Genomic DNA, 27,301 nt, shown 5'->3' on the forward strand with positions numbered 1-27,301 from the left:
CACATAATGATGGGCAGCCTCCAATCTATGCCATACTTTTGTGAGAATTAGAAACCTTCGGCCGGGCATGGTGGCTCACGCGTGTAATCTCAGCACTTTGGGAGGCTGAGGCTGGAGGATCACCTGAGGTGAGGAGTTTGAGACCAGCCTGGCCAACATGATGAAACCCTGTTTCTGCTAAAAATACAAAAAATTAGCCAGGCATGGTGGCAGGTGCCTGTAATCCCAGCTAGTCAGGAGGCTGAGGCAGGAGAATCACTTGAACCCAGGAGGCAGAAGCTGCAGTGAGCTGAGATCTCACCACTGCACTCCAGCCTGAACGACAGAGCGAGACTCGGTCTCAAAAAAAAAAAATAAAGAAACCCAGGCCGGGTGCAGTGGCTCATGCCTGTAATCCCAGCACTTTGGGAGACTGAGGCGGGTGGATCACGAGGTCAGGAGCTCAAGAGCACCCTGGCCAACGTGGTGAAACCCTGTCTCTACTAAAAATACAAAAATTAACCCCGCATGGTGGTGCGCATCTGTAATCCCAGCTACTTGGGAGGCTGAGGCAGGAGAATTGCTTGAACCCAGGAGGCAGAGGTTGCAGTGAGCCAAGATCGTGCCATTGCACTCCAGCTTGGGCAACAAGAGCAAGACTCCATCTCAAAAAAAAGAAAAGAAAAGAAAAGAAACCCTTGAGCCTCCCATAGGAAGATGAGAAGAGACACCACCTCTGGGCAACACAGCCCCAGACTAGGGCCCCCCACCAGGACCCATGGTTTGGTTAGACATGTCTGGGGTAGATCTCAGTCCCCACAGCCAGTGAGCACCTTCATGCCATTTGTACCATGCTCAGCTAGGTGCTCAGTGGGTCTGGTGGAGCTAAGATTTGAACCCAGGTCCTCCTGTGTCCAGAGCATGAGTTCTAAACCACCTTGCTTTCCTGTCTTCCTTTTTGTAAAGGACCAGATTGTTTGGTGTCTTTTGGTTTTTGCTTTTTTTCTTTTTTGAGGCAGGGTCTTGCTCTGTTGCCCAGGCTGGAGTGCAGTCGTGCAAACACAGTTCACTGCAGCCTCAACCTCCCAGGCTCAAGCAATCCTCCCACCTCAGCCTCCCAAGCTGGGACCACAGGTGCACACCCCCAGGCTCAGCTAATTTTAAAAATGTTTGTAGAGATGGAGTCTTGCTATGTTGCTCAGGCTAATCTCAAACTCCTGGGCTCAGACAATCCTCTCACCTTAGCCTCCCAAAATGCTGGGATTACAGGCGTGAGTCACTGTGCCTTTCCAGTTTGGTGCTTTTTGAAAGTATGTTTTTCTTTTATAACTTCTCCCTCTATTTTGCCTGTTTGGTGTCAGAAACTGTGGAAGGTCTGAGATGTTACCCTACTTGTAAGCTAACAAGTTAGCCTGCCAGTTTCATGGAAGCTGGCAGAAGATGCAGCCTCCTGGTTCAAAGACAAAGGACTTTATTACAGCAATTGCCAAGTTTCCCCGGCTCCAATTGCCATGGGCTAATGCAGTGAGGGTCAGATAACACCTGCATGTATAATAAGGTGTGTTACAGAAAGGAGCCCTGAGCTTAGAGAATCTGTATCTTTTATAATGGGCACCAAGGATGCCTGCCCTTTCTTCTGGAAGGAAACAGTGTCTCTGTCTTCCAGGGCTGTTCACTCTACAGCTAGATGGCTCAGCACAGAGACAGTCAGTGCCTCTGCACGCAAGTCATGCAGAAAAGCAAGAGATCTGGGAAGAACTGTCTCCCAACATTTGGCTAAAAATGTTTTCTTTAAATTCAACTTCAGTTTTGTTTTTGTAACGCCTGAATGAATGCCAAGCTCTCAAAATTGGGTGGGGAGTCAGGGGGAATGAATTTTAAGCAAAGTGGCATCTTGACAGCTTGGCAGTCCCTGGATCACACTGTCTACATGGGTCTCACTTAGGACCCTGCAGACTCAAGGCACCCAGGCCATAGGCCAGTCTTCAGTTACAGGAACAAACCCAATTTCTGCTCACGTCAACTTCTCGATAACTGAATATTGTACACATGTTTGACATGAGGACACAAAGCCCTTTCATAAACGCTGGCTAATTTAATTCTTAGCTAATTTAATCCTTGCTACAACCCTTTGGAGAGGGGACTTATGGTACCAGCTTTACTAGTGGGAGAATCTGAGGCCCAAAGAGGGGCTATGGCCTAAGATCATATAGCAAGAAAGTGGCAGTATTAAGATTTTTTTTTTTTGAGACAGAGTCTTACTTTACCGCCCAGGCTGGAGTGCAATGGCGCGATCTCAGCTCACTGCAACCTCCACCCGGCTCCCCCTTTCAAGTGATTCTCATCTCAGCCTCCTGAGTGGCTGGGATTACAGGCGTTCGCCACCATGCCCGGCTCATTTTTTTTTTGTATTTTTAGTAGAGATGGAGTTTCGCCATGTTGGCCAGGCTGGTTTCAAACTCCTGACCTCAAGTGATCCACGTCCCTCGGCCTCCCAATATGCTGGGATTACAGGCATGAGCCAAGTATTAAGATTTGAACCCAGGAATTCTCTACTTTGTCCCCTGCCCACTGAAGAATCGTGAGACCACCTTCTCAGCCAGGAGCCCACAGTCCCTTAGGCCTTCTCAGTGCACAGCTGCCACAGGACTCTGGGTCAGCAGAACTGGCTTAGGATAAAGGGGGATTGACCCGGCAGGTGGGGCTGGAGGAGGAGGAGAGGATATGCTGCCTCACTGGTACCCCAAGGGTGGGAGTGGGTACACTTTCAGGGACCCCCAAGAGGAGAAGGCGGCAGAGGCAGTAGGAGACAGGGTTGGGGCTTCCTCCTGTTCAGTTTGGCTCCCCCTCTCTCAGCAGGACATTCTCTATAAGCATCCCCCAAGGAAGGAGGTTAAGGGGAGCCCACAGGATGGGGCTGGGGCACCTAGTCTGTATCCCACCCATCTCTACCCCAGCCCTTCCCCTCAAGCTAATAGCTCCAGCTGTGGTTTGTCCTCCGCAGCATGGCTGTGGTAGGAGAGATACTTTGAGTAGCATAACTACTGTCCCCATCTTGACTGGGGGTTGGAGGGTGCCTTTTCACCTCCCCACTCCTTTTTCTTCTTGATGGGACCAGACATGGCTCCTGCCTCGAGGAGTCCCCAGGCTTGTGAGGACACAGTTGCTGACCCCAGTAATGGCAGTATGATCAGGGACTGTGGCCAAGGGACATCCCAGGGACTGTGGGAGCCCCAAGGAGGGGATAGAAGGATAGAGCTGGGCCTTGAAGGACATGTAAGAGTCCCTCAGGCAGAGAGGAAAGGAGGGCATTTCTGGGTAATGGAAAGTGGGGTGGGTGTGGCATGAGCCTTCTCTCTTCTCTGGCCACGCCAGCACCTGTGACTTCCTCTAGCACAGCGCTTCTCAAGCTATCTGTGGTGAAGGGCCAGTTTTTTAAAGATTAAAGGTCTCTCAAGAACCAATAGTTTTGTAAAATGCTATACAAATGAATTATTAGAGAAGTGAAATGAGGCAGGCCAGGCGCAGTGCATCATGAGTGTAATCCCAGCTCTTTGGGAGGCCAAGACAGGTGGATCACCTGAGGTCAGGAGTTCAAGACCAGCCTGGCCAACGTGACAAAACCCTGTCTCTACTAAAAATACAAAAAATTAGCCAAGTATGGTGGCGGGCACCTATAATCCCAGCTACTTGGGAGGCTGGGGCAGGAGAATTGCTTGAACACGGGAGGCAGAGGTTGCAGTGAGTGGAGATCGTGCCATTGCACTCCAGCCTGGGCGACAGAGCGAGACTCTGTCTCAAAAAAAAAAAAAAAAAAAAAAGAAAGAAATGAAACAAAGCCAGACATACACAGGATAAATCTAGTGTTTTATTGTGAGAGTCAACAGATATAAAATTGCTCTGTCAAGTGGCTACAAAAGTTCCTAAAAAACCTACTCCCATTTTCTGTAATGACTGTATCACAGGCTGCTATTAAGCATTTTGAACCTGTGCTGCTCAGCAGATCGCACATTGAGTGGCATGGCTGGAAACACCATCCTTCTCCTCTCCTCCAGATCATAGCACAGGCTGCTCCCTTTACTTCACATGTCCTTTCCTGGGCATCTTTGCCTAATTAGTGCTCCTCCTACAGAGCTCGGACTGAACAAAACTTCCTCCTGGCAGCCTTTCCTGATCCACACCTGCGCCCGGAAAAGATCAGCACCCATCATTAATGATCTGGTCAACTGTGTGGCACTACCTGTGCCCCTGATTCTGGCACCTATGTGTCACTGCCTCTGTCCCCTGATCTAGGCACATGTGTGTTACTACCCGTGTCCCTGATCTAGGCTCCAGTGTGTCACTGCCTCTGTCCCCTGATCTAGGCTCCTGTGTGTCACTACCTGTGCCCCGATCTAGGCTCCTGTGTGTCACTGTGTCCCTGATTTAGGCACCTGTGTGTCACTACCTGTGTCCCCTGATCTGGATGCCTATGTGTCACTACCTTTGTCCCCAGATCTGGGCACCTGTGTGTTGCTGTGTCCTTGGCAGTCTGTGAGAGACCAGGGTGCCCCTTGGTCTTGCTTATCACTCTCCTCAGTGCCTGGCTGAGTAAGCATGTGCTGGCCTGGAGGAGGGTGGCAGGGGCAGATCATGGAGGGGTCAGATGCCAGACTCAGGAGATGAGAAGCCACATGTGGGCAGTGGGGAGACACAGAGGGTCATCTCGCAAGGGAGGGACCCTCGCCAAAGCCAGTGTTGGTGGCCATGAAGGCAGCAGAGTGAAGCTGGGATCTTCCCATGTAGCCCCTAGGAGGAGCCATCAGTGCTGCTGGGCTTCATGAAGCCCTCTCTGTGTCCACACAGTGCTGAGCTCTGTCCATACACTGCTGCTCCTTACTACGGCCCTATTGTCCCATTTCTTAACACAGAAAACTGAGGCACAGAAATGTCTATGCGCATGATTCTCAAATTGTGTTCCAGAGCCCCAGGGGTCCCATGCAGACCCTCGGGGCCAAAGCCAGGTTGTGGGAAAGCAGAGAAGCCACTGAGCCTATCTTTGCTTCCAGCACAGCCTCCCGCCCCCGTCTCTGTTTTAGAGATCAGCTTCTGCTCAAAGAAAAGCTCCCTGGCTTAAAACAGTTTGAGACCCCCTGGGAAGGTGGGAGTAAAACTGTTTTGGAAACAGCCAGCCAGGACCAGGCAGGAGCACTGGCCTGTGCAGGCCCTGGGAAATGCCGGAGGGCTCAGGGTGGGGCTGTGCGTGAGGGTGGGCCCGAGGAACTGCCCTTCCCAAGAAGCCAGGGAAGGCTGGTTTCCCAACCAGCCCCTTGTGCCAATGTCTCCCTGACACTCTGGCATTTTGGCCATCTGGAGGGAGTGTTATATCCTGATGAGGCGTGACAGAGGAGAGGGAGAGGGGGAGCTGTAGGGCAGAGCCCTGGGCTGGGCAAGGGAGGCCCAGCAGCTGCTCCAGGTCCTGCTGCTGACCTGTTGTGCAAGGCCCTCCCTCTCTCGGCTGCCATTTCCCCGTCTGACCATGACACAGGAGCCATAAAGCATGATAGGAAAGAGACGGTGATTCATGATATCTCCCCTGCCGAATGTTGGGAAAGAGACGTGGATTTATATGAATTTGGGTTCTGCTCCTGGTTCTACCGTTGAACAGCTGGGTGGCCTTGGGCAAGTCACTTGCCCCCTCTGAACTGCATCCATCTGTAAAATGAGGGTGAAAGTTGTCCATACCTGGTGTTAGTTTGGGCCACCAGAAGCAGGCTCTGAAGCCAGAGATTCATGTGCAAGTGATTTATTTTGAAAATATTCCTGAGCTGGGCGTGGTGGCTCATCCCTCTAATCCCAGTGCTTTGGGAGGCTGAGGCAGGAGGATCACTTGAGGCCAAGGTGGGAAGATCATTGTTCAAGACCAGCTGGAATAACGTAGTAAGATCCCATCTCTACAAAACATAAAACACTTAACTAGGCAGGATGGTGCACACCTGTAGTCCTAGCTACTCCAGAGGCTGAGGTGGGAGGATTGCTTGAGCTCAGTAGTTCGAGGCTGCAGTGAGCTAGGATCATGCCACTGCACTCTTTCCTGGGTGACAGAGTCTCTGAAAAACAAACAAACAAGAAAAGAAAATACTCCCCAGAGAAACTGGAAATGAAGTGGGAGACGCAGGGTGGGGAGAAGAGGGTATCCAAGTGAGGGTGTGGTCTTGGGAAAAGTGCCAGCCTCAGTCACATCCCCAGAGGATCTCTGGAGTGGGGACAACAGCTCAATTCATCCCCACTGGGGCTAGTGAGTTGGGATTATAGATGTCCATGTCACTAGATCATTGCCTCAAGGCAGCTGCAAGAGGACGTATACTCCCTGGCACTTTGGGGGCGAAGCAACTCTAAAGAGAGTCACAGATGCAGGCACATGGAAGCCAGGGACGGGCACAAAATCTAGTAAGAGGGATCTCAGAAGATCCGGACAAACTCCTCCAGTGCCCACTACACACCTCACGAGGTTGTTACAATGATTAATTGGTATAACTCCTTAAAGCCCCTAGCACAGCGCCTGGCACGTGGTAAGGGCTCAGAAGATGGAACCTGTGGTTTTTCTTGTGATTATTAGCAGGCTGGGGCTGGTGAGTGCTCAGGGCCCATGCCAGCCACTCTGAGGCTCTGGGGTTGTGGAGTTCTTTTTAATTTTAATTATTATTATTATTCTTTTTTTTGGAAGAGAGCCTCACTCTGTCACCCAGGCTGGAGTGCAGTGGCGTGATCTCGGCTCACTGCAACCCCCACCTTCTGGGTTCAAGCAATTCTCCTGCCTCAGCCTCCCAAGTAGCTGGGACTACAGGCACACACCACTGTGCCTGGCTAATTTTTGTATTTTTAGTAGAGATGGTGTTTCACCATGTTGGCCAGACTGGTCTTGAACTTCTGACCTCAGGTGATCCACCCGCCTGGGCCTCCCAAAGTGCTGGGATTACAGGCGTGAGCCACAGCGCCTGGCCCAGGTTCTGGAGTTCTCAATTGCAGCAGGGTTCCTTTTACCCTCTGTGTCTGGCCGGCCATGTGCTGCACTCTTTGCCTAACCATCCCCCTTCCCCGGGCAGCTGCAGTCCATGGTGGATCTCCTGGAGGGCACCCTGTACAGCATGGACTTGATGAAGGTGCACGCCTACGTCCACAAGGTGGCCTCCCAGATGAACACACTGGAAGAGGTAAGGGCGGGGCTGCCGCCAGAGGCCAGGCTGCTCTGGTGCTGGGGGCCAAGGGCACTGTCCGAAGGGGCCCCGGCAATCCAGGCTTCACCCTGGTGACCATGGGAAGCCAGACTCCAGCCAGGAGCTGGGGGAGGGAAATGCAGGCCACAGGGTCCAGCCTCTGGGGAAGAGGTCTAACTGGCTCAAGGGCCTGCAGGAAGCTGAAGTCTGAGTGGAGAAACCGAGGCACCTGCTGGTTGTATGAAAGGGGTTCAGAGGGAGCTGGAACTTGCAGTTGCCCCCAGTGCACCAAGATCAGGACCCACAATTCTGGGGGTACCATTCGCACAAGATTCCTTGGTGGCTGGGCATGGTGGCTCAGTGGCCTGGCGCAGTGCCTCACACCTGTAATCCCAGCACTTTGGGAGGCCGAGGCAGGCGGATCACTTGAGGCCAGAAGTTTGAGACCAGCTTGGCCAATATGATGAAACCCCATCTCTACTAAAAATACAAAAATTAGGCGTGGTGGTATGTGCCTGTAATCCCAGCTACTCAGTAGGCTGAGGCAGGAGAATCACTTGAACCTGGGAAGCGGAGGTTGCAGTGAACCGAGATCGTGCCACAGCCTGGGCGACAGAGCAAGACTGTCTCAAAATAAAAAATAAGATACCTTGTCGGAGTGCCCCCCCTGGGTTGGTAAAACATGGCAGGACTGACCGAGCCCACTGGGCTAGTGCCCAGCTGCTGTGGAGGCAGAGGTGCTGCGTGTCCTGCCCTGGTCAGGGTGAATGTGCTATAGGACTGGGCAGGGGACCAGGACTGCCCCTGGGGACAAGGACAGAGTTGGGCGAGCATGGGGGTCCAAGCTGCAGGTTCGAGGTTTGTATCTCTGCTGGCGCAGCCTCACCTCCGCCTGTTTCCTGCATCCGGCCTCTGTTGGGCCACTGGGAGTCTGGGGACATACAGCTGCCAGGAGCGGGCGTGGGGGCTTCCTTTCCCAGCTTCCTTTACAGAGGGAGGGGGCACCTGGGCATCCTGTGCCCCAGAGTAGGAGATTAACCCCTTCCTCACCCCAAAGTTGGGATCACAGTGGCTTTAAGTATTCGAAAAGTGTTTGGTATGTACCTACTATTGGCCAAGCCCCTGGCAGCAGGGGAGAAAGCTGACACTTGGTGAATTTCTTCTGTGTCCCAGTATTTCCTGTGCAGCTAGTACATTCCAGGCCCTCCCGTTACTGGCTCTGAAGTTATTCTCCTTTGATCTTTCCTCTTGTAACCTCAGGAAATGTCAACCCACTTCATGTAACTCTGAGCCAGATGATCCGGAGGGTATATCAGCTAGGCCTGGAACCAACCAGAGATGGTTTCCACAGCCACAGAAAAATGACTTTTTAATTATCTCCTGTTTTGCATTATCTTGCATTGCTCCTGTTAACCATGGTTTACTAAGTGATAACCTTATGGAAAAATTAAAAGCAAAAAGCTTTTGTTCACCCTGGGAGGAGGTGGGGAGAGAACAGCCTCACTTGGGAGAGGCTGGCTCCCTCTGCCAAAGGGAAAAACCTCCCGGGGGATAAGCAGCAACTTGGGGTCTCAGCTTCCCTCTGCTCTCTTCCCTGACACCAATAGTTCTCAACCAGGGGTGACTTTGCCCCCAGGGGAAAGCTGGCAATAGCTGGAGACATTTTTGGTTGTCACAACTTAAGTGGGGGACAGGATGGGTGCTACTGGGATTCTACTGGTTAGAGGCCAGAGATTTGGCTAAATACCCTACAATACACAGGACAGTCCCCAAAAGCAAACAGCTATCTGGCAAATGTCAATAGTGATGAGGCTGAGAAAATCTGTCATACACTTTGACTTCTGTCATCCCTGGGATCTAGTTTTTTGATTGTTTGTTTGTTTTTTTGAGACAGGGTCTCACTCTGTAGGCCAGGGTAGAGTGCAGCCTCAATCCCCCAGGATCAACTGATCCTCCCACCACAGCCTCCCAAGTAGCTGGGACTGCAGGTACACACCACCACACTCAGCTAGTTTTTTGTGTTTTTTGTAGAGATGGGGCTTTACCATGTTGCTCATGCTGGTCTTAAATTTCTGGGCTCAAGCGATCCTCCTGCCTTGGCCTCCCAAGGTGCTGGGATTACAGGCATGAGCCACTGCACCCAGCCCCTGGAATCTAGTTTAAAATGCACTGTCATATTCCATAGACTTTTTGGTCCTCACAGTGACCCTGCCATTTAGTTGTTAGTATGATGACATAATAGCCCACTTTTCAGGCAGGGAAACTGAGGCTTGGAGAAGTAGCTACTGGCCCAAAGTTACCCAGCCAGGAAGTAGAGAGCAAGGATTTGAATCCAAGGGTATCCGACTCCTGCCTGCTGCCTCTTGGTCCCTGAACATGAGTCACCCAGGGATGACTGGACGTCAATCACTTTTAGGTTATCTTTTCCTCTGTAACAATTTCTACAAATGAAATTCTGGACCCATAATTCTGTTGCTCCGCGGCTTCTCAGCAAACTGGTGCTTTCTGCCTCTGACTTCTGTCTGTCCTGCTTTAGCTGAAAAGTATACTCAGACGAAAGAATCCCAGATCTACTAGAGCTTTGGCGAACTGGGACTGATACCTGCCAGGCCCCCCAGGTTTCCAAGTCCTCTCCAGTGAACAAGGCCAGCTTGGGTGACAGCCCAGCAAAGGAGATCCCTAGATAGCGGGAGGTTCACAGAGCGAGGGGCATTATGGTTCTAAGCAGTCTGTCTGCTCCTGGCAGGATTCAGAACCAGGAGTAGATCCAGGAGCTGGTGTGGGAGCTGCTAAAAGTAGGCAAGGAGCCAGAGCCCCAGCAAGGGGAGATGAGGCAGGGAAGGAGAACAGCCCTGGGAGTAAAGGCAGGGCTCAGTGCTGGGAGAGGAGCCGGCACGGCCCAGGAGAGAAGCTGGAGACTTGCAGGGAGCAGAGATTCACCCTCAGCAAAACCCCAAAGGGTTCCACTCCATCTACACTGTTTGAAGATTTTATAAGCAGAAGATATTTATGTATTATGTATACAATTTTAAAGTAATTTTAAAGTAGCAAAAGATTGGAAGCAACTTAAGTAACCATCCATAATGGGCAGGGGTGGTGGCTCACGCCTGTAATCCCAGCACTTTGCAAGGCTGTGGTGGGTGGATCACTTGAGGTCAGGAGTTCAAGACCAGCCTGCCCAACATGGCGAAATCCCGTCTCTACTAAAAATACGAAAATTAGCCAGGCATGGAGGCACGCGCCTGTAGTCACAGCTACTCAGGAGGCTAGGTAGGAGAATCACTTGAGCCCGGGAGGAAGAGGTTGTCGCAGTGAATTGCTTGCAGTGAGCCAAGATCGCACCACTGCCCTCCAAGCTGGGCAACAGAGTGAGACTCTGTCTCAAAAAAAAAAGTAACCATCAAAAAGGGACTGGGCGGCTGGGTGCAGTGGCTCACACCTGTAATCCCAGCACTTTGGGAGGCCAAGGCGGGCGGATCACTTGAGGCCAGGAGTTCCAGACCAGCCTGGCCCACATGATGAAACCGTGTCTCTATTAAAAACACAAAAAATTAGCCGGGCATGTGGTGGGTGCCTGTAGTCCCAGCTACTCAAAAAAAAAAAAAAGAAAGAAAGAAAAAGAAAAAGAAAAAATAAGGGACTGGGTAAATAAATTATGGCCTTTAAGCAATGGTGTACTGTGTGGCCATGAGAAGGAACGGAGCACTATATATGCAGATATGCATCAGTTCCCAAAATAGGCTGTTCAGCAAAAAAGAAAAGTGGTAAAAATATGTGTGTATGTATACATGTGTTCCCGTAAATATACAGACTCTCTTTAGAAGGATATACAAGGAACCTATAATAACTGTTGGCACTGAGAAATAAAGGTGGGAGGGTGACTTTTTATAGCCGTTGATATCTTTTACATTTAGTACCATGCACATGTATTATCTATTTTTTTAATTCCTTCACTTTTTAAATTTAAAAAGTTCATAAACACAGGGTCTCTTGGAGCCTATTTTTCCTGCTCATGCTCACTGCGGCCGCCCCTAGCCCGTTCGGGGGACTGGGCAGCAAAGCCTAATGACCAAAGCTGGGGTGTCCCTCCAGGCTAGGGGTTCAGAGGAAGCTGGCCCAGGAAAGACCTCCAATCCTGCCCCCTCCGCAGAGCATCAAGGCCAACCTGAGCCGGGAGAATGAGGTGGTGAAGGACAGCGTGCGCCACCTCAGTGAGCAGTTGAGGCACTATGAGAATCACTCTGCCATCATGCTGGGCATCAAGAAGGAGCTGTCCCGCCTGGGCCTCCAGCTGCTGCAGAAGGATGCCGCCGCCGCCCCTGCCACCCCTGCCACGGGCACTGGTAGCAAGGCCCAGGTGAGGCCCCAGCTCTGATCATGGGGCCGGAGCTGGCTGAACTTGGGAGCTCAGTGTGCCAGGACGTTGGCCCTGTGGATCAGCTCGATGGGGGTTTGGGGCTGTAAGATGGGGTTGAGGACTGGCACAGCCAGAGAGTCCCTGGCAGGGTGAGGTGCAGGGGATACCTGCTGTACAGCAAGCACAGTCAGCACAGGGAATGGGGGATAGGCCTGGGGATCCTGCCAAGGGGGCTGGTCCCTAAGCCAGGTGTTTGGCATCCTTCTCATTCCCAAGCTTGAAACTAGTAGGGACAAGCTTGTGGAGGTGGTGCCCCCTGCCTGGCCCTCAGAGACCAGGTTGGCTGCAGCAAAACCACTTCTAGCCTCCCCTGCTGTGGCTGGGTTGAGCCTGCTCAGAGGGAGGTGGGCAATGCCTCAGGGACCCCTGCAGACTGATACCCATTCATCCAACCCACCCTGGGGTACAGAACCCCTGCAGCCAATACCCAGGCACTCGACCTCCAAGCTCAGAGCAGAGTGAGCAGAGGCACTGGTTCTGTCACTAGGCAGAGCCACCCATGACAGATAACACACCTGCGTGCAAATGTGATAAACGTCCTCTCTGTAGGCAGATGAACTGTGAAGCTGGTTCTCCCTCTGAGCAGATCAATTAGAAGGAACAACCACTTTTGGGTGAGCCGGTTGCACAGAGGCTCCTGCCTTTGCTGGGTATGTGGCTTGGCAAATGGAGTGCAGACTGGATTCAACCCCATTCAGGCTCCTCTGGCCAGTCACCCTTGGGCAAGACACAAGCCACACCATTGTTCACACTGGCCTTGTGTTTTGGTGAGTGGCTGAAGAAGGGAGCTGACATTTGTGGAATTCCTACTTTAAACTTGACTTTCTCACAGACATTGTCAGTGAACCCCATAGTCACCTGGGAGGAGGGGCGACCCCTGCCCATTTGGCAGATGAGGCATGGAGAGAGGTCACATGGAGAGGCGGTGGCGGAGCTGGGACTGGCAGCCAGGTCTGCGTGACTGCCAAGCCCACCCTCTTCCTCTCTTCTTCTCCACATCTCGGTCTCCTTTGCTGACATTGTGATAATGCGGCCATTTGTGTCTGCAACTGGGACTGCCTAGATGCCGATAAAGCAGCTAGGAAGCCTGTGCCTTGGCCCCCAGCTGGCTTCCTGCTCATTCCCGTGCCAATTCCGCAGGCGAGAATGAAGCGTGTTTTGGCAATGGTGCAGAAGGCACCCAGCTACTGTACTTGCCGTATCTGCTGGAGCTTCTGCCTAACGATGAGTGATGTCACAGGCCCTGTGTTCTTGTGCCAAGCCAGCATCGGAGGCATTTAAATAGGAAGTGAAAATAACAAAACACAAAAAGTTAGAAATGGCATATCCTAGAGGTTGGGTGACCAACCCTGTCCCAGTTTGCCTGGGACTTGAGGGTTTTTCCAGGATGCAGCACTTTCAGTGCTAAAACTAGGAATGTTCCAGGCACTCTGGGATGAGTTGGTCACCTTGCCTAGGTGCCTAAGAACCTCTCCCCTGCCCACGTACTAAGACCAATGAGTAAGAGAGACAAGGCTGGGAAGGTGAGCAGGTGGAGGAGGCTGCCTCCCAGGGAGCTGGTCCTTCTAGCCTGCCCCCCAGGGGGATTGGACAGGAGTTGAGAAGTGGGACAGGAATCTAACCTATCAGGTTGGACTTCAAGCCTGCAAGGGAGCTAAAGAGCTGGGTGAGGAAACTGAGGCAAACCAGTCATGGATGTAGCCACCATGGTGGGGTAAAGGAAAGCTGTGACTTTGTGAGTGCTTGGGACATAGGGCCTGGGGCAACATGGCCACCTCCAGTCCCCACATGCTGAGCCCCCAGGACTCCCCACAACATTTCTTCTACTGTCCTTCAAGTCTGAGACTTCTCTTCCCTCCCAGGACACAGCTAGAGGAAAAGGCAAGGACATCAGCAAGTATGGCAGTGTGCAGAAAAGCTTTGCAGACAGAGGCCTCCCAAAACCTCCCAAGGAGAAGCTGCTTCAGGTGGAGAAGCTGAGAAAGGAGAGCGGCAAGGGCAGTTTCCTCCAGCCCACAGCCAAGCCCCGCGCCCTGGCCCAGCAGCAGGCTGTGATCCGGGGCTTCACCTACTACAAGGCAGGCAAGCAGGAGGTGACCGAGGCGGTGGCAGGTGAGTAGGAGGGGAATGGGGACCCTGGGGAGTCAGGGATGGATGCCTCCTAGGAATCCCCTCATCTTCTCTGCAGTGGGACCACCCCAGATTCAGTTCCACCCATTGATTACCTGTTGGGTGCCCTCTGCTCATTCACATATGAGGATAACACCCCACTCAGGGGGTCATTGGGATGAGATGGCAGAACCAACCTGCAGGGCCACTCAGTGGCTTTTCAGTATTTACAGCTGTCTTCACCTTCACTGGACTTTTCTTTGTGCTTTTGAAAATGTGCTGAAGGTCCGCTCTGACCAGGTGACAGGGAATGGTAGAGACACAGTCCCTGTCCCCACAGATCTCACAGTCTAGTGAGAAAAAATACCTATGACCAGGCAGCTGCCACAGTGAGGGGCAGGAGAATACCGGGCTCCTGAGAAGTGACAAGGGCTTTCAGGGCATCTCTCATTTCCTCTCCAGCTCCTCCCTCTTCTTATATCCCCAAGGAAGAGCCCACAGACTCTTGTATTTTTCCTGCAGCTCTCTGCTGCATCACAGAGAAGGGTGACAAAGTAATTGGCAAACAAGAGACACACGTTTCAAGATACCCCAAATTTCTGAGCCATCTCTACGGGTTGTGGTTCTTGATTCCCCCACTAAGACCCGCCCCAGATGGCTGCTCTCTTCTGATGTCCCAGAGGGGTGTCCCAAACCTGCTCCTCCCCTTCCTAGGTCCTGCTGACCACCTCCTCCTGCAAAGCCCTCCTTCCAGCCCATGTGCAAGGGGCGCAAGGAGGTGAAACAGTCAGGGACCAGGCTCCTTTGAGAGCCCTCTTGTTTCTTGGCCTCTCAGGACTCAGGGGCCTCTTTACCCTGGTCCCAGCTGCTGGCCCAAGCCCTGCCAGCTTGGTCTGGACATGGCACAGAGCCTCTGACCCCTGGCTGGGGCACTGCCTAAGAACAGCTGCAGGCATCTGACTCTGCCAGCAAGGCCTGTGGGAACAGGCACCCTGCCCTGGCAGGCTGCTTAGGCCAGGCCTCCCTGTGGTCCTCCTCGACCAGGGGGATGACCCCCTTCCCCGCCAGGGCCCAGGCTGCCCACAGCAGGGCCTGTGCAAAGAGGAAGCCCAAAATGGAGAAAAAAGGAAGAAGTTATTGTCCTCAAGTCAAGGGTTCTCTGAGCCCCTCACCCAGCTGACCAGGAGGTCCCCTGGGCACCAGACCATCATAGTAATAACAGCACCATTCCTTTGTCTCCCTGGTGTCACAATTTTTTTTTTTTTGAGACAGAGTTTCGCTGTTGTCACCTAGGCAGTGGTGCAGCGGTGCAATCTCAGCTCACTGCACCCTCTGCCTCCTGGATTCAAGCAATTCTCTCGCCTCAGCCTCCCAAGTAGCTGGGATTACAGGCACGTGCCACCATGCCCGACTAATTTTTGTATTTTTAGTAGAGACGGGGTTTCGTCATGTTGGCCAAGCTGGTCTCGAACTCCTGACCTCAGGTGATCCATCCACTTTGGCCTCCCAAAGTGCTGGGATTACAGGCATGAGCCACCGCGCCCGGCCGGTGTCACAAAAGTGTAAAAGTGTTTCCCTAAACCCTTCCTTCCTTCCTTCCTTTCTTTCTTTTTTTCTTTTGAGACAGGGTCTCACTCTGTCACCCAGGTTGCAGTGTAGTGGCACGATCATGGCTCACTGCAGCCTTGACCTCCTGGGCTCAAGTGATCTTCCCTCCTCAGCCTCCCTAATAGCTGGGACTACAGGGGCCCATCACCACACCTGGCTAATTTTTTCTATTTTTTAGTAGAGACAGGGTTTTGCCATGTTGGCCAGGCTGGTCTTGAACTCCTGGGCTCAAGCGATCTGCCGGCCTCAGCCTCCCAAAATGCTGGGATTACAGGCACCAGCCACTGCGCCCAACCCTCTAAGCACTTTCGTTCATGCCGTCTCATTTGATTCTGGCAGCAGCTGCATTTTCCATGGCAGAATAATAGGAGAAGGCCTGTAAAACGGGAACAAGAGCTTCTCTCTAGAATTGAATCTAGCAAATGAGAGAACTGGTACAAAGTGCTTGATGCATAGGAAGGAAAGGGATCTCCTTTTTGGTACCTCGTATTTGCTGGGATCTGTGCAAATGTTTATGTACATTTTTCTGTAGTCAACACCACAGTCCAGCATGGTGGGCTCCTGACTCTCAGTTCACAGAGGTGGCCCAGGAAGGCAGGGGGACATGGCTGAGGCCACCTGGCTGGGTTTAGAGCCCTGGCTGTGAAGTCCTCCCTGCCTCCCATTTGGAGACCTTTCACCCCCCTCCAGGTGTGAGGAGGCCCTGAGGAGGCCTCCCCCTCCACTCCCTGAGGGCCCCTGAGATGGGGGCCCAGTGGACCTTAGGGAGACCCACACGGCAGCAGGTGGTGCTGAGATTTGAGCACAGGGGTCTTCTCTCTGCAGACAACACCCTCCAGGGCACTTCCTGGCTGGAGCAACTGCCGCCCAAGGTGGAGGGCAGGTCCAACTCCGCAGAGCCCAACTCCGCAGAGCAGGATGAGGCTGAGCCCAGGTCCTCCGAGCGAGTGGACCTGGCTTCTGGCACCCCCACTTCAATCCCTGCCACCACCACCACCGCCACCACCACCCCAACCCCCACCACCAGTCTCCTGCCCACCGAGCCACCTTCAGGTCCAGAAGTCTCCAGCCAAGGTGAGTGAGCCTCACAGGAGTCAGCACACTGTAGCCTGTGCCCAAATCTAGCCCACAGCCTGTTTCTGTGAAGCCCTCAAGTTAAGAAATGCTTTTTATAGCTGAGCATGGTAGCTCACACCTGTAACACCAGCACTTTGGGAGGCCAAGGTGGACGAATCACCTGAGGTCAGGAGTTCAAGACCAGCCTGGCCAACATGGAAAAACCCCCTCTCTACTAAAAATAAAAAAATTAGCCAGGCGTAGTGGCGGGTGCCTGCAATCCCAGCTACTCGGGAGGCTGAGGCAGGAGACTCGCTTGAACCCAGGAGGCAGAGGTTGCAGTGAGCTGAGATTGTGCCACTGCACTCCAGCCTGGGCGAAAGAAATTTTTTTTTTTTCTTTTTGAGACAGTCTCACTCTGTCACCCAGGCTGCAGTGCAATGGTGAGATCTTGGCTCATTGCAACCTCCATCCCCCGGGTTCAAACAATTCTCCTGCCTCAGCCTCCCGAGTGGCTGGGATTACAGATACCCGCCACCACACCTGGCTAATTTTTGTATTTTTAGTAGAGACAGGGTTTCACTACCAGGCTGGTCTCTAACTCCTGACATCAGGTGATCCTCCCATCTCAGCCTCCCAAAGTGCTGGGATTACAGGCATGAGCCACCGCACCAAGCCCAGGTAGTATTTTCAACAAATTCTTCTTAAAATGTCACCTAGAATGCCATCATCAAATCCAGCAACTATTTTTATTTCTTTATTTCCTGTGTCCAATCGTTGGCTCTGTTTTGATGTCAGCATTTATAGTTTTGCTCTGTGTCTCATGGTAGAAATCTTCCTCGTTAAGTCATTGATCCCGTCCTTCCGAAGGGATCTTGGCTCTCTGTGGTGAAAATCCTTCAAACCCTGTCCTGCTTTGGTCCAAGGTCATTCCACTTCTAGGAATCTTTCCTGAAGGATCTACCAGCAATGGGAACAACAGCTGCAGCTTAAGTGGTTGCATCATGGCATCATTTCTAATGTCAGAAAACTGGAAATAACACGAAGGGCTGACATGGGGAGGACTGGTCAGATAAATTCAGGGCACAGCTGTCCACCGGCCTGGCAGAACCTTGAAATCACATCATTAAAAGCCTATTTAATGATGAGAGAAATTGCTCAACGGAGGCTAAAAACAGGATACATAAAACTGTATACTCACAGTTTTTTAAAGTATGTCTGCATGACTGTACATGCAAAGAAAAAAGAAAAGGAAGGAAATGCCACATGTTTAAATTTTTCTTTGGATGGGAGAATGGTGGGAGGGGGTAAAGGATAAAAGACTACATACTGGCTGCAGTGTATACTGCTCAGGTGACTGATACATTAAAATATCAGAGATCACCACTAAAGAACTCACCCATGTAACCAAAAACCACCTGTTCCCCAAAAACTATTTAAATAAAATTTTATTATTATTGTTGTTGTTGTTTTGGTTTTTTTGGTTTTTTTTTTTTTTTTTTTTTTTTTGAGACGGAGTCTGACTCTGCGGTCCAGGCTGGAGTGCAGTAGCGTGATCTCAGCTCACTGCAACCTCTGCCTCCTGAGCTCAAGAGATTCTCCTGCCTCAGCCTCCCAAGCAGATGGGATTTCAGGCACACACCACCACGCCTGGCTAATTTTTCTAGTTTTAGTAGAGACAGTGTTTCGCCATGTTGACCACACTGGTCCTGAACTCCTGACCTCAAGTGATCAGTGAAATACAATTTTTAAAAAGAGAATAAAAGAACAGAAGAAAATTTTTCTCTGGATAATGGCAGTTTTTAGGTTTTTATTTTTTATCTTATAAGAGTTTAAATTCTTTTTATTTTTTAAAAAGTAAAATAAAAAAGAAAAACCAAAAAAGAAAAAAATTTAAATTTTTGTACTGACAAATAAAAATTGTATGTGTTCATTTGTTTGACATACTGCAGAAAGAATAATTTTTTTAAATGTGTGTATTTATAATGTACAACATAATGCTTTGATATGTGTACACACAGTGAAATGGCTAAATCAAGCTAATTAGCATATATATTACCTCACATTATGTATCTTTTTTTGTGGCGAGAACACTTAAAATCTACTCTCTTAGCAATCAAAATTCAAGTATACAGTATGTTGAACTTATTCCTGTTGTCTAAATGAAATTTTGAATGCTTTAAGCAACATCTCCTCAATCCCCCCATCCACTAGTAACCACTATTCTACTCTCTGCTTTTATGAGTTTGACTTTTTAACTTTTTAAATTTTTAATGTTTATTTTTATTTATTTTTATTTTATTTTTATTTTTTTTGAGATGGAGTCTCACTCTGTCACCCGGCTGGAGTGCAATTGTGTGATCTTGGCTCACTGCAACCTCCTGCAGTGATTCTCCTGCCTCAGCCTCCAGAGTAGCTGGGACTACAGGCACCCACCACCGCACCCAGCTAATTTTTTTATTTTTAGTAGAGATGGGGTTTCACCACATTGGCCAGGTTTGTCTCAAACTCCTGACCTTGTGATCCGCCCACCTCAGCCTCCCAAACTGCTGGGATTACAGGCATGAGCCACCGCGCCCAGCCAATTTTTATTTATTTATTTTTTTTGAGGCGGTGTCTTGCTCTGTTGCCTAGGTTGGAGTGCAGTGGTGTGATGACAGCTCACTGCAGCCTCAATATCCCAGGCTCAAGCAATCCTCCCACCTCAGCCTCCCCAGTAGCTGGGACTACAGGCGCACACCACTATGCTCAGCTAATTAAAAAAATTTTTTTTTTTTTTTGTAGAGAGAAGGTCTTGCTATGTTGCCCAGGCTGGTCTTCAAGTCTTGAGTTCAAGTGATCCTCCCACCTCAGCCTCCCAAATTGCTGGGATTACAGGTGTGAGTCACTGTGCCTGGCCGAGTTTGACTATTTTAGATTCCACATATAATGAATAATATAACTTTGAAGATTTTTATTTTCTCCATTCTCTTTTTTTTTTTTGAGAAGAGTTTCACTCTTGTCGCCCAGAGTGCAGTGGCATGATCTCTGCTCACTGCAACCTCCGCCTCCTGGGTTCAAGTGATTCTCCTGTCTCAGCTTCCTGAGTAGCTACGATTACAGGCACCGCCTACCATGCCCAGCTAATTTTTGTATTTTTAGTAGAGACGGGTTTCACCATGTTGCCCGGGCTGGTCTTGAACTCCTAACCTCAGGTGATCCACCTGCCTTGGCCTCCCAAAGTGCTGGGATTATAGGCGTCAGCCATTGCGCCTGGCCTCCATTCTGCTTTTCTGAATGTTTTATGTTTTTGGTAACGATCAGGCATTGTTTTGATGATGAGGAAAGGGGAAAGAAGGCCACAAACAAAATTTCAGGAGAGATTTAAGTTAGACCCAGATAACATTCCCAGCCCGTTGCTCTGGCTGGGGGGCTTGGGGGTCTGTGTACCGATGCTGCCTGCCCTCCTCCCCACAGGCAGAGAGGCGAGCTGTGAGGGCACCCTCCGGGCTGTGGACCCCCCTGTGAGGCACCACAGCTATGGGCGCCACGAGGGAGCCTGGATGAAGGACCCTGCAGCTCGAGACGACAGGATCTATGTCACCAACTACTACTATGGAAACAGCCTGGTGGAGTTCCGCAACCTGGAAAACTTCAAGCAAGGTCAGGGACCCCCGGAGGTGGAGAGGGGGCTGGGTATGGACAACCTGGGGAGGGGTCCTCATGGGGACTTGGCCTTCCTTGCCTTGTGGGTTTCTATGGTATAGGCTGGTTGAGCTCCAGATTGTTAGCCACCCCAAGGAGGGGGTTCTGGGCTGAGGGCACTGGGCTGGAGGCCCAGACAGACCCCATGGCACCCCGGTGTGCTAGCACCCTGCCAGGAACCAGAATGCAGCGGCAAACAAGAGAGACATGGTCCTGCCCTCACAAGTGTGACTTACCATCAAGGGGCCAATACTGAGTTTCCATTTGTTGAACGCTTACCCTGTGCTGATCTCGCCCCCCGTGTATCAGCTCTTGGTAGCTACATACCTCCAGGAGGTGGGGTTATCACCTGTTTTATAGGTGCGCAGTGTCTCAGGTCTTAGCGGAGCTGCAGGTCTGGGCAGGGGCCAGGATGGAGCTGACGGCACAGGGAAGGGCAGAATTCTGCTTATCAAACCTGGGGAATGATGCCAGGAAGGGGTCATTTAGATCTAGCCTGCCCTTCAGAAATGCACAGTCTGGTGGGGGAGGCAAAGGCTTAAAGAGACGATTTCAGTACAGCATTAGAGGGAGCACTGAAGGGGCTATGGGAACCCAGCCTAGAGATCAGGGAAGACCTTCCCAGGAAGGTGATGCTGAGCTGGGCCCTGGAAGAAGAGTAGGAGTAAGCCATGCGGAAGGGAGAGGGAAGGGTGTTCCAGGCAGAAGGCTGAGTACATGCAGAGGCCTGGCAATGAGAGGAAACGTGATGGCCTGGGGTAGGGGGGATGGTGACTGAGTAAGCTGGGGCAGGCCTGGTGAGCCAGATAAAGGAGTTTGGACTTAACCCCGAGAGCCATGGAGTCACAACTAAAGGCCTGGAACAGGCCGGGCGTGGTGGCTCACACCTGTAATCCTAGCACTTTGGGAGGCTGAGGTGGGCTGATCACTTCAAGTCAGGAGTTCAAAACCAGCCTGGCCAACACGGTGAAACCCCGTCTCTACTAAAAAATTAAAAAAAAAAAAAAAATTAGCTGGGTGTGGTGGCAGGCGCCTGTAATCCCAGCTACTTGGGAGGCTAAGGCAGGAGAATTGCTTGAACCTGGGAGGCAGAGGTTGCAGTGAGCCGAGATCGCACCACTGCACTCCAGCCTGGATGACAGAGAGAGACTCTATCTCGAAAAATATGAAAAAAATAAAGGCCTGGAACAACTGAAATCCTTCCTCCGCTAGCTCAAAATTGGCCGGCTTTCTGCTCAAGCAGCGCACAGGGTGGTGGAGGAAGCCAGTGATAAGTATCAAGATGAAGGCTTCTGTCTGGCTGCTACAGACGTGTCCTGGGGGGATAAAAGACAAAGGGTTATGGGAGGCTGGAGGAGAGGCCCCTCACTCAGGCTAGGGAGGTCAGTGAAGGTTTCCTAGAGGAGGTGACATTGGCCTGGGGCTCTGAAAGATGGGCAGGCATTCCCCAAGCAGATGGCCTGGGGAATGGCAGTCCTAACAGAGGAACAGCAGGGACGAAGGCCTGGAGACAAAGAATGGGGCTGATGTCACCCTGTGTCTAAATCCTAGCTGTGCCATTCCAGAGCTGGGCGACCTTGATCCTCTGAGCCTTTTTTTTTTTAAGCAGATGGGATGACGATAGACCTCCTTCAGGAGACGCTTGTGCCATAATAAGATGTCATCCCAGCTCCAGGCACACTGCACATGCTTGGTATCAGTCACTTACTGGGCCACTGAGAGCCCTTGGTGGGCTCAGGGGATGTGGGTGGGCTGGGGTTGCTCGGGAGGTCTGGGGTGACCATCGCCCTCGCCTGCAGGCCGCTGGAGTAACATGTACAAGCTACCCTACAACTGGATCGGCACAGGCCACGTGGTGTACCAGGGCGCCTTCTACTACAACCGCGCCTTCACCAAGAACATCATCAAGTACGACCTACGGCAGCGCTTCGTGGCCTCCTGGGCGCTGCTGCCCGACGTGGTATATGAGGACACCACACCTTGGAAGTGGCGCGGACACTCGGACATTGACTTTGCCGTGGACGAGAGCGGCCTGTGGGTCATCTACCCCGCCGTGGACGACCGCGATGAGGCCCAGCCCGAGGTGATCGTCCTGAGTCGCTTGGACCCCGGCGATCTCTCCGTGCACCGGGAGACCACGTGGAAGACACGGCTGCGGCGGAACTCCTACGGGAACTGCTTCCTGGTGTGCGGCATCCTGTATGCCGTGGACACGTACAACCAGCAGGAAGGCCAGGTCGCCTACGCTTTCGACACGCACACGGGCACCGACGCACGCCCCCAGCTGCCGTTCCTCAACGAGCACGCCTACACCACCCAGATCGACTACAACCCCAAGGAGCGGGTGCTGTACGCCTGGGACAATGGCCACCAGCTCACCTACACCCTCCACTTCGTGGTCTGAGTGGAGACCTGTGCTCCCCGGAGAGGGGCAGCAGTGCGGGAGGGGCTTTGCACAGCAGCTCCTGCAACTGACCCAGTCCGCAAATATTTATTGGGGGCCAGCCCAGGGCTGGGACTGGGCATGAGGTGGTCACCAGGATTGAGCTTCCTCAGCACCCAGTGGGTAATACTTGCTTCCACTTGCAGAGCACCGTGCCAAGCACTTCCCACACACTTACCCGTTTGATTCTCCTAGCACCTCCCTTGGAGGTAGAGATCATGAACCCATTTAACAGACGAGGAGACAGGCTCAGAGAGGCACCGTCCCTTGCCTAACACCTCAGTTGTGATCAGGCAGGCTGTGCTCTCAGGACAGCCCCATTTTAGGGATGAGGAGACTTCACCACGCCCTCCCCTCCCTGCCCTCCCCCATCTCCCCGGTCTCCCTTGTTCTCTCAACCCAGTCTCCCTTCCCAGGGCCACTCAGAACCAGAGGTCTTTAGGGCCAGTGTACTGGTGTGGGGTGGAGGCCCTGGCTCTGCCTGCCATCCTAGGGCCCTGTTCTGGCTGAGCTGTTGGTGGCCCTGGGCTTTGGGCCCCTTAGCCAATGTCCTTGTCTCTTGTCTTTGGCCAGCCCCCTCAGCCCAGCCCACCCCACCCGCTGTCCGGCCACATTCCAAACCTCTACCGTCACCTAGCTGCTGAGCAGAAACCGCACCCCGAGAGAAAATCCCATCCTCTGTTCCAAGGCCCCTGTCTGCTCTATGCTCATTTTTATTTTCTCTTATTCTTCATCAGTGCCGTCATTTGTTTCTGCAGCAGCAGCTGAGAAGGCAGCCGGCAGCTCTGCCAGGGTGGGGAGCTGAGCTGAGGCTCCCTCTCCACCCAGAAGCACTGGCGTTGTTCACATAGTCAGGCCTTGGGTCCCCTCCCTGGTTCATCCCAGAGCCTTTGGGCCTGGAGTCCGCCTTGTCCTTTTTCTCTGGGCTTTCAAACCCACAACCTTTACACACTCAGGGATACCTCCGGGTCTGCCATGAATAAGACCCTAGGCCCAAGTCTGGTGTGGTGCCAGGATGGCACAGTTTCCCTCTTCCTTGCCAGCCCTGACCTGGTCACTGGGCAGGCTGGCCCAGCAGCCTGGGGGCTGCAGAAGACATGGTGTGAGTAGTTGGGTCCAGGGGAGGCATCAGGCCTTCTTCTGGTTGCAGGAGAGAACCAGAGGGTGGGAACGGGGAGGGAAGAACTGAGGGTCTGCAGACTGGACTTTTCCTGGCTCGACCCAGGACTTGGGTTGAGGATGCACGGGGGCCACCTTGCCCGGGGCCACTGGTGGCTCCCCAGAGCCTCAGACCCACACAGCCCAGAGGACGAGGCCTTCAAGCCTGCCCCTCTTCTGCTTTTTTAGACAGTATTTTTAGAGCTGGAAAGAAATTTTCTAGCCCAACTCCCTGTTTCATGAAAGAGAAAAGAGGCTCAGAAAAGTTTAGAGAGCAGCTCAGTGTCACACTGGGAGCTGGGCACAGCCGATCTCCTTCCAGAAGGGTTCTGTCTGTATCCTTTATTCTCCGCACATGGAGGCTGCCCTACCTGGGAAGGCACCCCAGCACCTGTGAAGGACATTTACTGCTCATCCTCACCTGCCCCCTGGCCCTTGCTGCCTTCATTCTGTCCCAATGCCAGCTCCCTGGATGTCTGTATGTTTGAATACCAGTTGCCATGTTAGGAAGGTCAGCTGCACAGCCAAGAGTGTAAGAGTGTAAAGAAATGCCTTTTTTTTTTTTTTTGAGTTGGAGTTTTGCTCTTGTCGCCCAGGCTGGAGTGCAGTGGCGCGATCTCGGCTCACTGCAACCTCTGCCCCCTGGGTTCAAGCGATTCTCCTGCCTCAGCCTCCCTAGTAGCTGGGACTACAGCACCCACCACCACACCCAGCTAATTTTTGTATTTTTAGTAGAGACAGGGGTTTCACCACGTTGGCCAGGCTGGTCTCGAACTCCTGACCTTAGGTGATCCGCCCGCCTCAGCCTCCCAAAGTGTTGGGATTACAGGCATGAGCCACTGCGCCTGGCCAGCAAATGCTTTTTGTGCAGAATACACTTCTTTCAGGCATTGTCAGGTGCTGTTTTGTTTAAGCTCTAACTCACCCCTGGAATACAGGGGAATGATGACAACCAGCCCAGCCAGGCCTGACTCATCATGGTCACATCCAGCCCCCACCCCCGGCCAACTAACCACTGCAGGCTCCTCTTCCAGACTCACCAGGGGGCCTCGAGGCCCCGGCATCTCCCTTGGCCCTGGGTGTGGGTTTTACAAGACTGTGTCTTTCATGACATCATAGCCCAACCATGTGAGAAGAAGGAGAAGGCCCCCCTTTCTTCATTAATCTGAAAAAAAGGAAAGTGAGAATAGGCTGATTTTTAAAAGTTAAGGGGCAAGCAGCATTGCATTCTGGGGGAACGATCCTGGCCACAGCCGCCAAACAAACATTCACTAGGCCTCTTCTGTTTTCATACCCTTGTAAGTGGGTTATGTGGTGGGTATGGTCAGTTTTTTCTTTTTTCTTTTCTTTTCTTTTTTTTGAGACAGAGTTTCGCTTTTGTTGCCCGGGCTGGAATGCAATGGCGCGATTCAGCTCACTGCAATCTCCGCCTCCCGGGTTCAAGTGATTCTCCTGCCTTAGCCTCCTGAAAAGCTGGGATTACAGGGCCCTGCCACCAAGCCCAGCTAATTGTATTTTTAGTAGAGACAGGATTTCACCATGTTGGCCAGGCCAGTCTCAAACTCCTGACCTCAGGTGATCCACCTGCCTCAGCCTCCCAGACTGTTGGGATTACAGGCATGAGCCACCACGCCTGGCCAGTTTCTTCATTTTACATATGGTCACATTGGCGCCTAGAACAGTTAGGTCGCTCGTCACATAGGCAGTTAAGTGGAGAACCAGGTTTCAAAATCAGGTAAGAAAACCATCATCATTAACTGAGCACCAGCTGTGCTAAGCCTGCCACGGGCGTATCCTTGCAGCCTCACAACAGTGGGAGGTCTGTATCCTGAATGTCCTCATTTTACAGATGAGGACATTGAGGAGAAGAGACTTACCCAGGCTCACACAGCAGCTCAGCCTGTTCCAGGCGCTGGTCAGTGCGTGTTCTTTGCCACCAGCCTGTCACTCCAGTGGCAGCTCCAGAAACGGAGGCTGTTGCTTTTATCCCTAAACTGCATCCACAGAGAAGCCCCAAGAAGGAGGTTGGGGCCAGCTCATAAAAAGCCTGAATGCCAAGCCAAGGAGTGGATGCCTCCAGTCATATTTAGAACAAAGTCAAGTATAAATTTACAGAGAAAAAATTCTAAGACAGTTGGATGTTGTCCTGTTGGTGAGGAAGGGAAAGGTTTTTCTTGTAGGGAACTGGAACCAGCCCACAACTGCACACTTGTGAGCTGTCATGGAAACCTGATCCCCAACAGCTTTTGAGGTTGTTTGTTTGTTTGTTTGTTTACCTGTCTTGGGCTTTGTTGCTTTTGGCAAAAGGTACTTCAAACAAGGGAGGGCCTGGACTGAGGGGGACCAGGTCTTCTTGCTGACCTCGTCTACAAAGGCAAAGGAAGGCAAAGGAAGCTGTCTCGGGTGTTTCTGAACAACGTGACTCATGAGGGGCTTTGGCTACCTCTTGCGTTCCCCCTAGAGATGTCCAGGCCTTACATTTAATCGGCTTTCTCTGCGGTGGGGTAGAGAATGGAGCTCCCGCCTTGCGGGCAGTGCTAAAGGTGGAGCTGGGGGATTTTCCTGGGAATGATTTGAGGGCTCTTGAAAGCCCATGTGTTCCAAAGCGTCTTTAACTCTGGGATAGCATTGGAAGCCGCTGTCATGACAGGACATGGCACTGGATGGCTGGCAGAGAGCCCTGGCTGGGAGTTAGGGAGCCCTGGGTTGGAATCCAGCCCCACCTCTTTTATGCCACAGGTTTGGTCAAGTTCTCTCCCGCTCAGGGTAGGGCTGTGAACTCCCTCTTACAGCTAAGAACATGCAGCTTAGTGAGGACAAGACCCTTCTAGAGCTTTACCCCTAATCCCCCCCCAGGAGCCCCGAGGCCGGCATTATTCCTCCCCATTACAGGTGATGAGCCTCAAATTCAGAGAGCTTAAGCAACCTGCTCAGGGTCACGTCTCCAACAGGCAGTAGAGTCAAGGTATAAACCAGGTCTGTTTTTGTACCAGAGTCCCAGACTAACTGTTGGTAGGAATCTTGTAACCAGTCATGTTTTCTTCCTTGTTTTGGCCGCTGGGAAGCTCAAAGTCAAATTCGAGACCCTTTTTTTTCCAATTGTGCTGAGTCTCCTACTAGACTCGCTTCATTCTAGCTTTCTGCTTTTACCTTTACCCTAATCTTTTTATTTTTATGCTATTGTACTTTATTTTTGTAAGTTGCTGAGATATCTGTTTTGCAACAAGATGGGCTATATCTAAATAAAGACATGATCAAAGGTTTGATTTAAAAGTCTGGACTAAATGCTGTGGTCCATATCTTTATCAGAACACATACATTTAATAACTTTTAAAACAAATAATTTGTCGGCTGGGCATGGTGTCTTGCACCTGTAATCCCAGCACTTTGGGAGGCTGAGGTAGGTGGATTACTAGAGGTCAACACAGCACAGGAGTGCACACTCACAAACAACTGTGCAAGAGCATAAGCCTTAGAATCTGTCAAACCAGGGGTCGAACTTGGGGAATTTGCTTGGGGTCTGACCTTTCTCCTATTAAAATGGAGAAGATCATATTGTATATATTCTAGAGTTCGAGACCAGCCTGGCCAACATGGTGAAACCCTGTCTACCAAAAAATACAAAAATTAGCTGGGCATGGTGGCACGTGC

At 51.7% G+C, this 27,301-nt stretch overlaps 1 protein-coding gene across 4 annotated transcripts in view, besides 5 other annotated features; it reads left to right on the top strand.

Moving 5' to 3' along the window:
• Positions 1-26,923, top strand: part of OLFML2A (olfactomedin like 2A) — a 37,750-nt gene extending 10,827 nt beyond the window's left edge. The window contains exons 3-8 of one of the 4 annotated variants that reach the window (NM_182487.4): positions 7,065-7,172; positions 11,326-11,532; positions 13,455-13,704; positions 16,135-16,383; positions 19,822-20,007; positions 21,849-26,923. In NM_182487.4, coding sequence (NP_872293.2) covers positions 7,065-7,172; positions 11,326-11,532; positions 13,455-13,704; positions 16,135-16,383; positions 19,822-20,007; positions 21,849-22,453 — 1,605 coding nt within the window. In that variant the 3' untranslated portion in view covers positions 22,454-26,923. Of the gene's footprint in view, positions 1-7,064; positions 7,173-11,325; positions 11,533-12,914; positions 13,116-13,454; positions 13,705-16,134; positions 16,384-19,821; positions 20,008-21,848 lie in introns of those variants that run through there. The other 3 variants (XM_005251760.6, XM_006716989.3, NM_001282715.2) reach the window with 3 other exon arrangements.
• Positions 10,968-11,482: an enhancer, noted in NCBI's record as "H3K4me1 hESC enhancer chr9:127561206-127561720 (GRCh37/hg19 assembly coordinates)". NCBI's record gives its function as "activates a minimal SCP1, AML or CMV promoter by ChIP-STARR-seq in naive H9 embryonic stem cells {active_cell/tissue: H9 hESC(naive)}" and the evidence as "EXISTENCE:reporter gene assay evidence [ECO:0000049][PMID:30033119]".
• Positions 11,483-11,996: an enhancer, noted in NCBI's record as "H3K4me1 hESC enhancer chr9:127561721-127562234 (GRCh37/hg19 assembly coordinates)". NCBI's record gives its function as "activates a minimal SCP1, AML or CMV promoter by ChIP-STARR-seq in naive H9 embryonic stem cells {active_cell/tissue: H9 hESC(naive)}" and the evidence as "EXISTENCE:reporter gene assay evidence [ECO:0000049][PMID:30033119]".
• Positions 23,249-23,749: an enhancer, noted in NCBI's record as "NANOG-H3K27ac-H3K4me1 hESC enhancer chr9:127573487-127573987 (GRCh37/hg19 assembly coordinates)". NCBI's record gives its function as "activates a minimal SCP1, AML or CMV promoter by ChIP-STARR-seq in primed H9 embryonic stem cells {active_cell/tissue: H9 hESC(primed)}" and the evidence as "EXISTENCE:reporter gene assay evidence [ECO:0000049][PMID:30033119]".
• Positions 23,750-24,252: an enhancer, noted in NCBI's record as "NANOG-H3K27ac-H3K4me1 hESC enhancer chr9:127573988-127574490 (GRCh37/hg19 assembly coordinates)". NCBI's record gives its function as "activates a minimal SCP1, AML or CMV promoter by ChIP-STARR-seq in primed H9 embryonic stem cells {active_cell/tissue: H9 hESC(primed)}" and the evidence as "EXISTENCE:reporter gene assay evidence [ECO:0000049][PMID:30033119]".
• Positions 24,754-25,255: an enhancer, noted in NCBI's record as "H3K27ac-H3K4me1 hESC enhancer chr9:127574992-127575493 (GRCh37/hg19 assembly coordinates)". NCBI's record gives its function as "activates a minimal SCP1, AML or CMV promoter by ChIP-STARR-seq in naive and primed H9 embryonic stem cells {active_cell/tissue: H9 hESC(naive and primed)}" and the evidence as "EXISTENCE:reporter gene assay evidence [ECO:0000049][PMID:30033119]".
• Positions 26,924-27,301: the final 378 nt, after the last annotated feature.

The sequence above is a fragment of the Homo sapiens genome, chromosome 9 (assembly GCF_000001405.40).
Source record: "Homo sapiens chromosome 9, GRCh38.p14 Primary Assembly".
NCBI classification, from domain to species: Eukaryota; Metazoa; Chordata; class Mammalia; order Primates; family Hominidae; genus Homo; species Homo sapiens.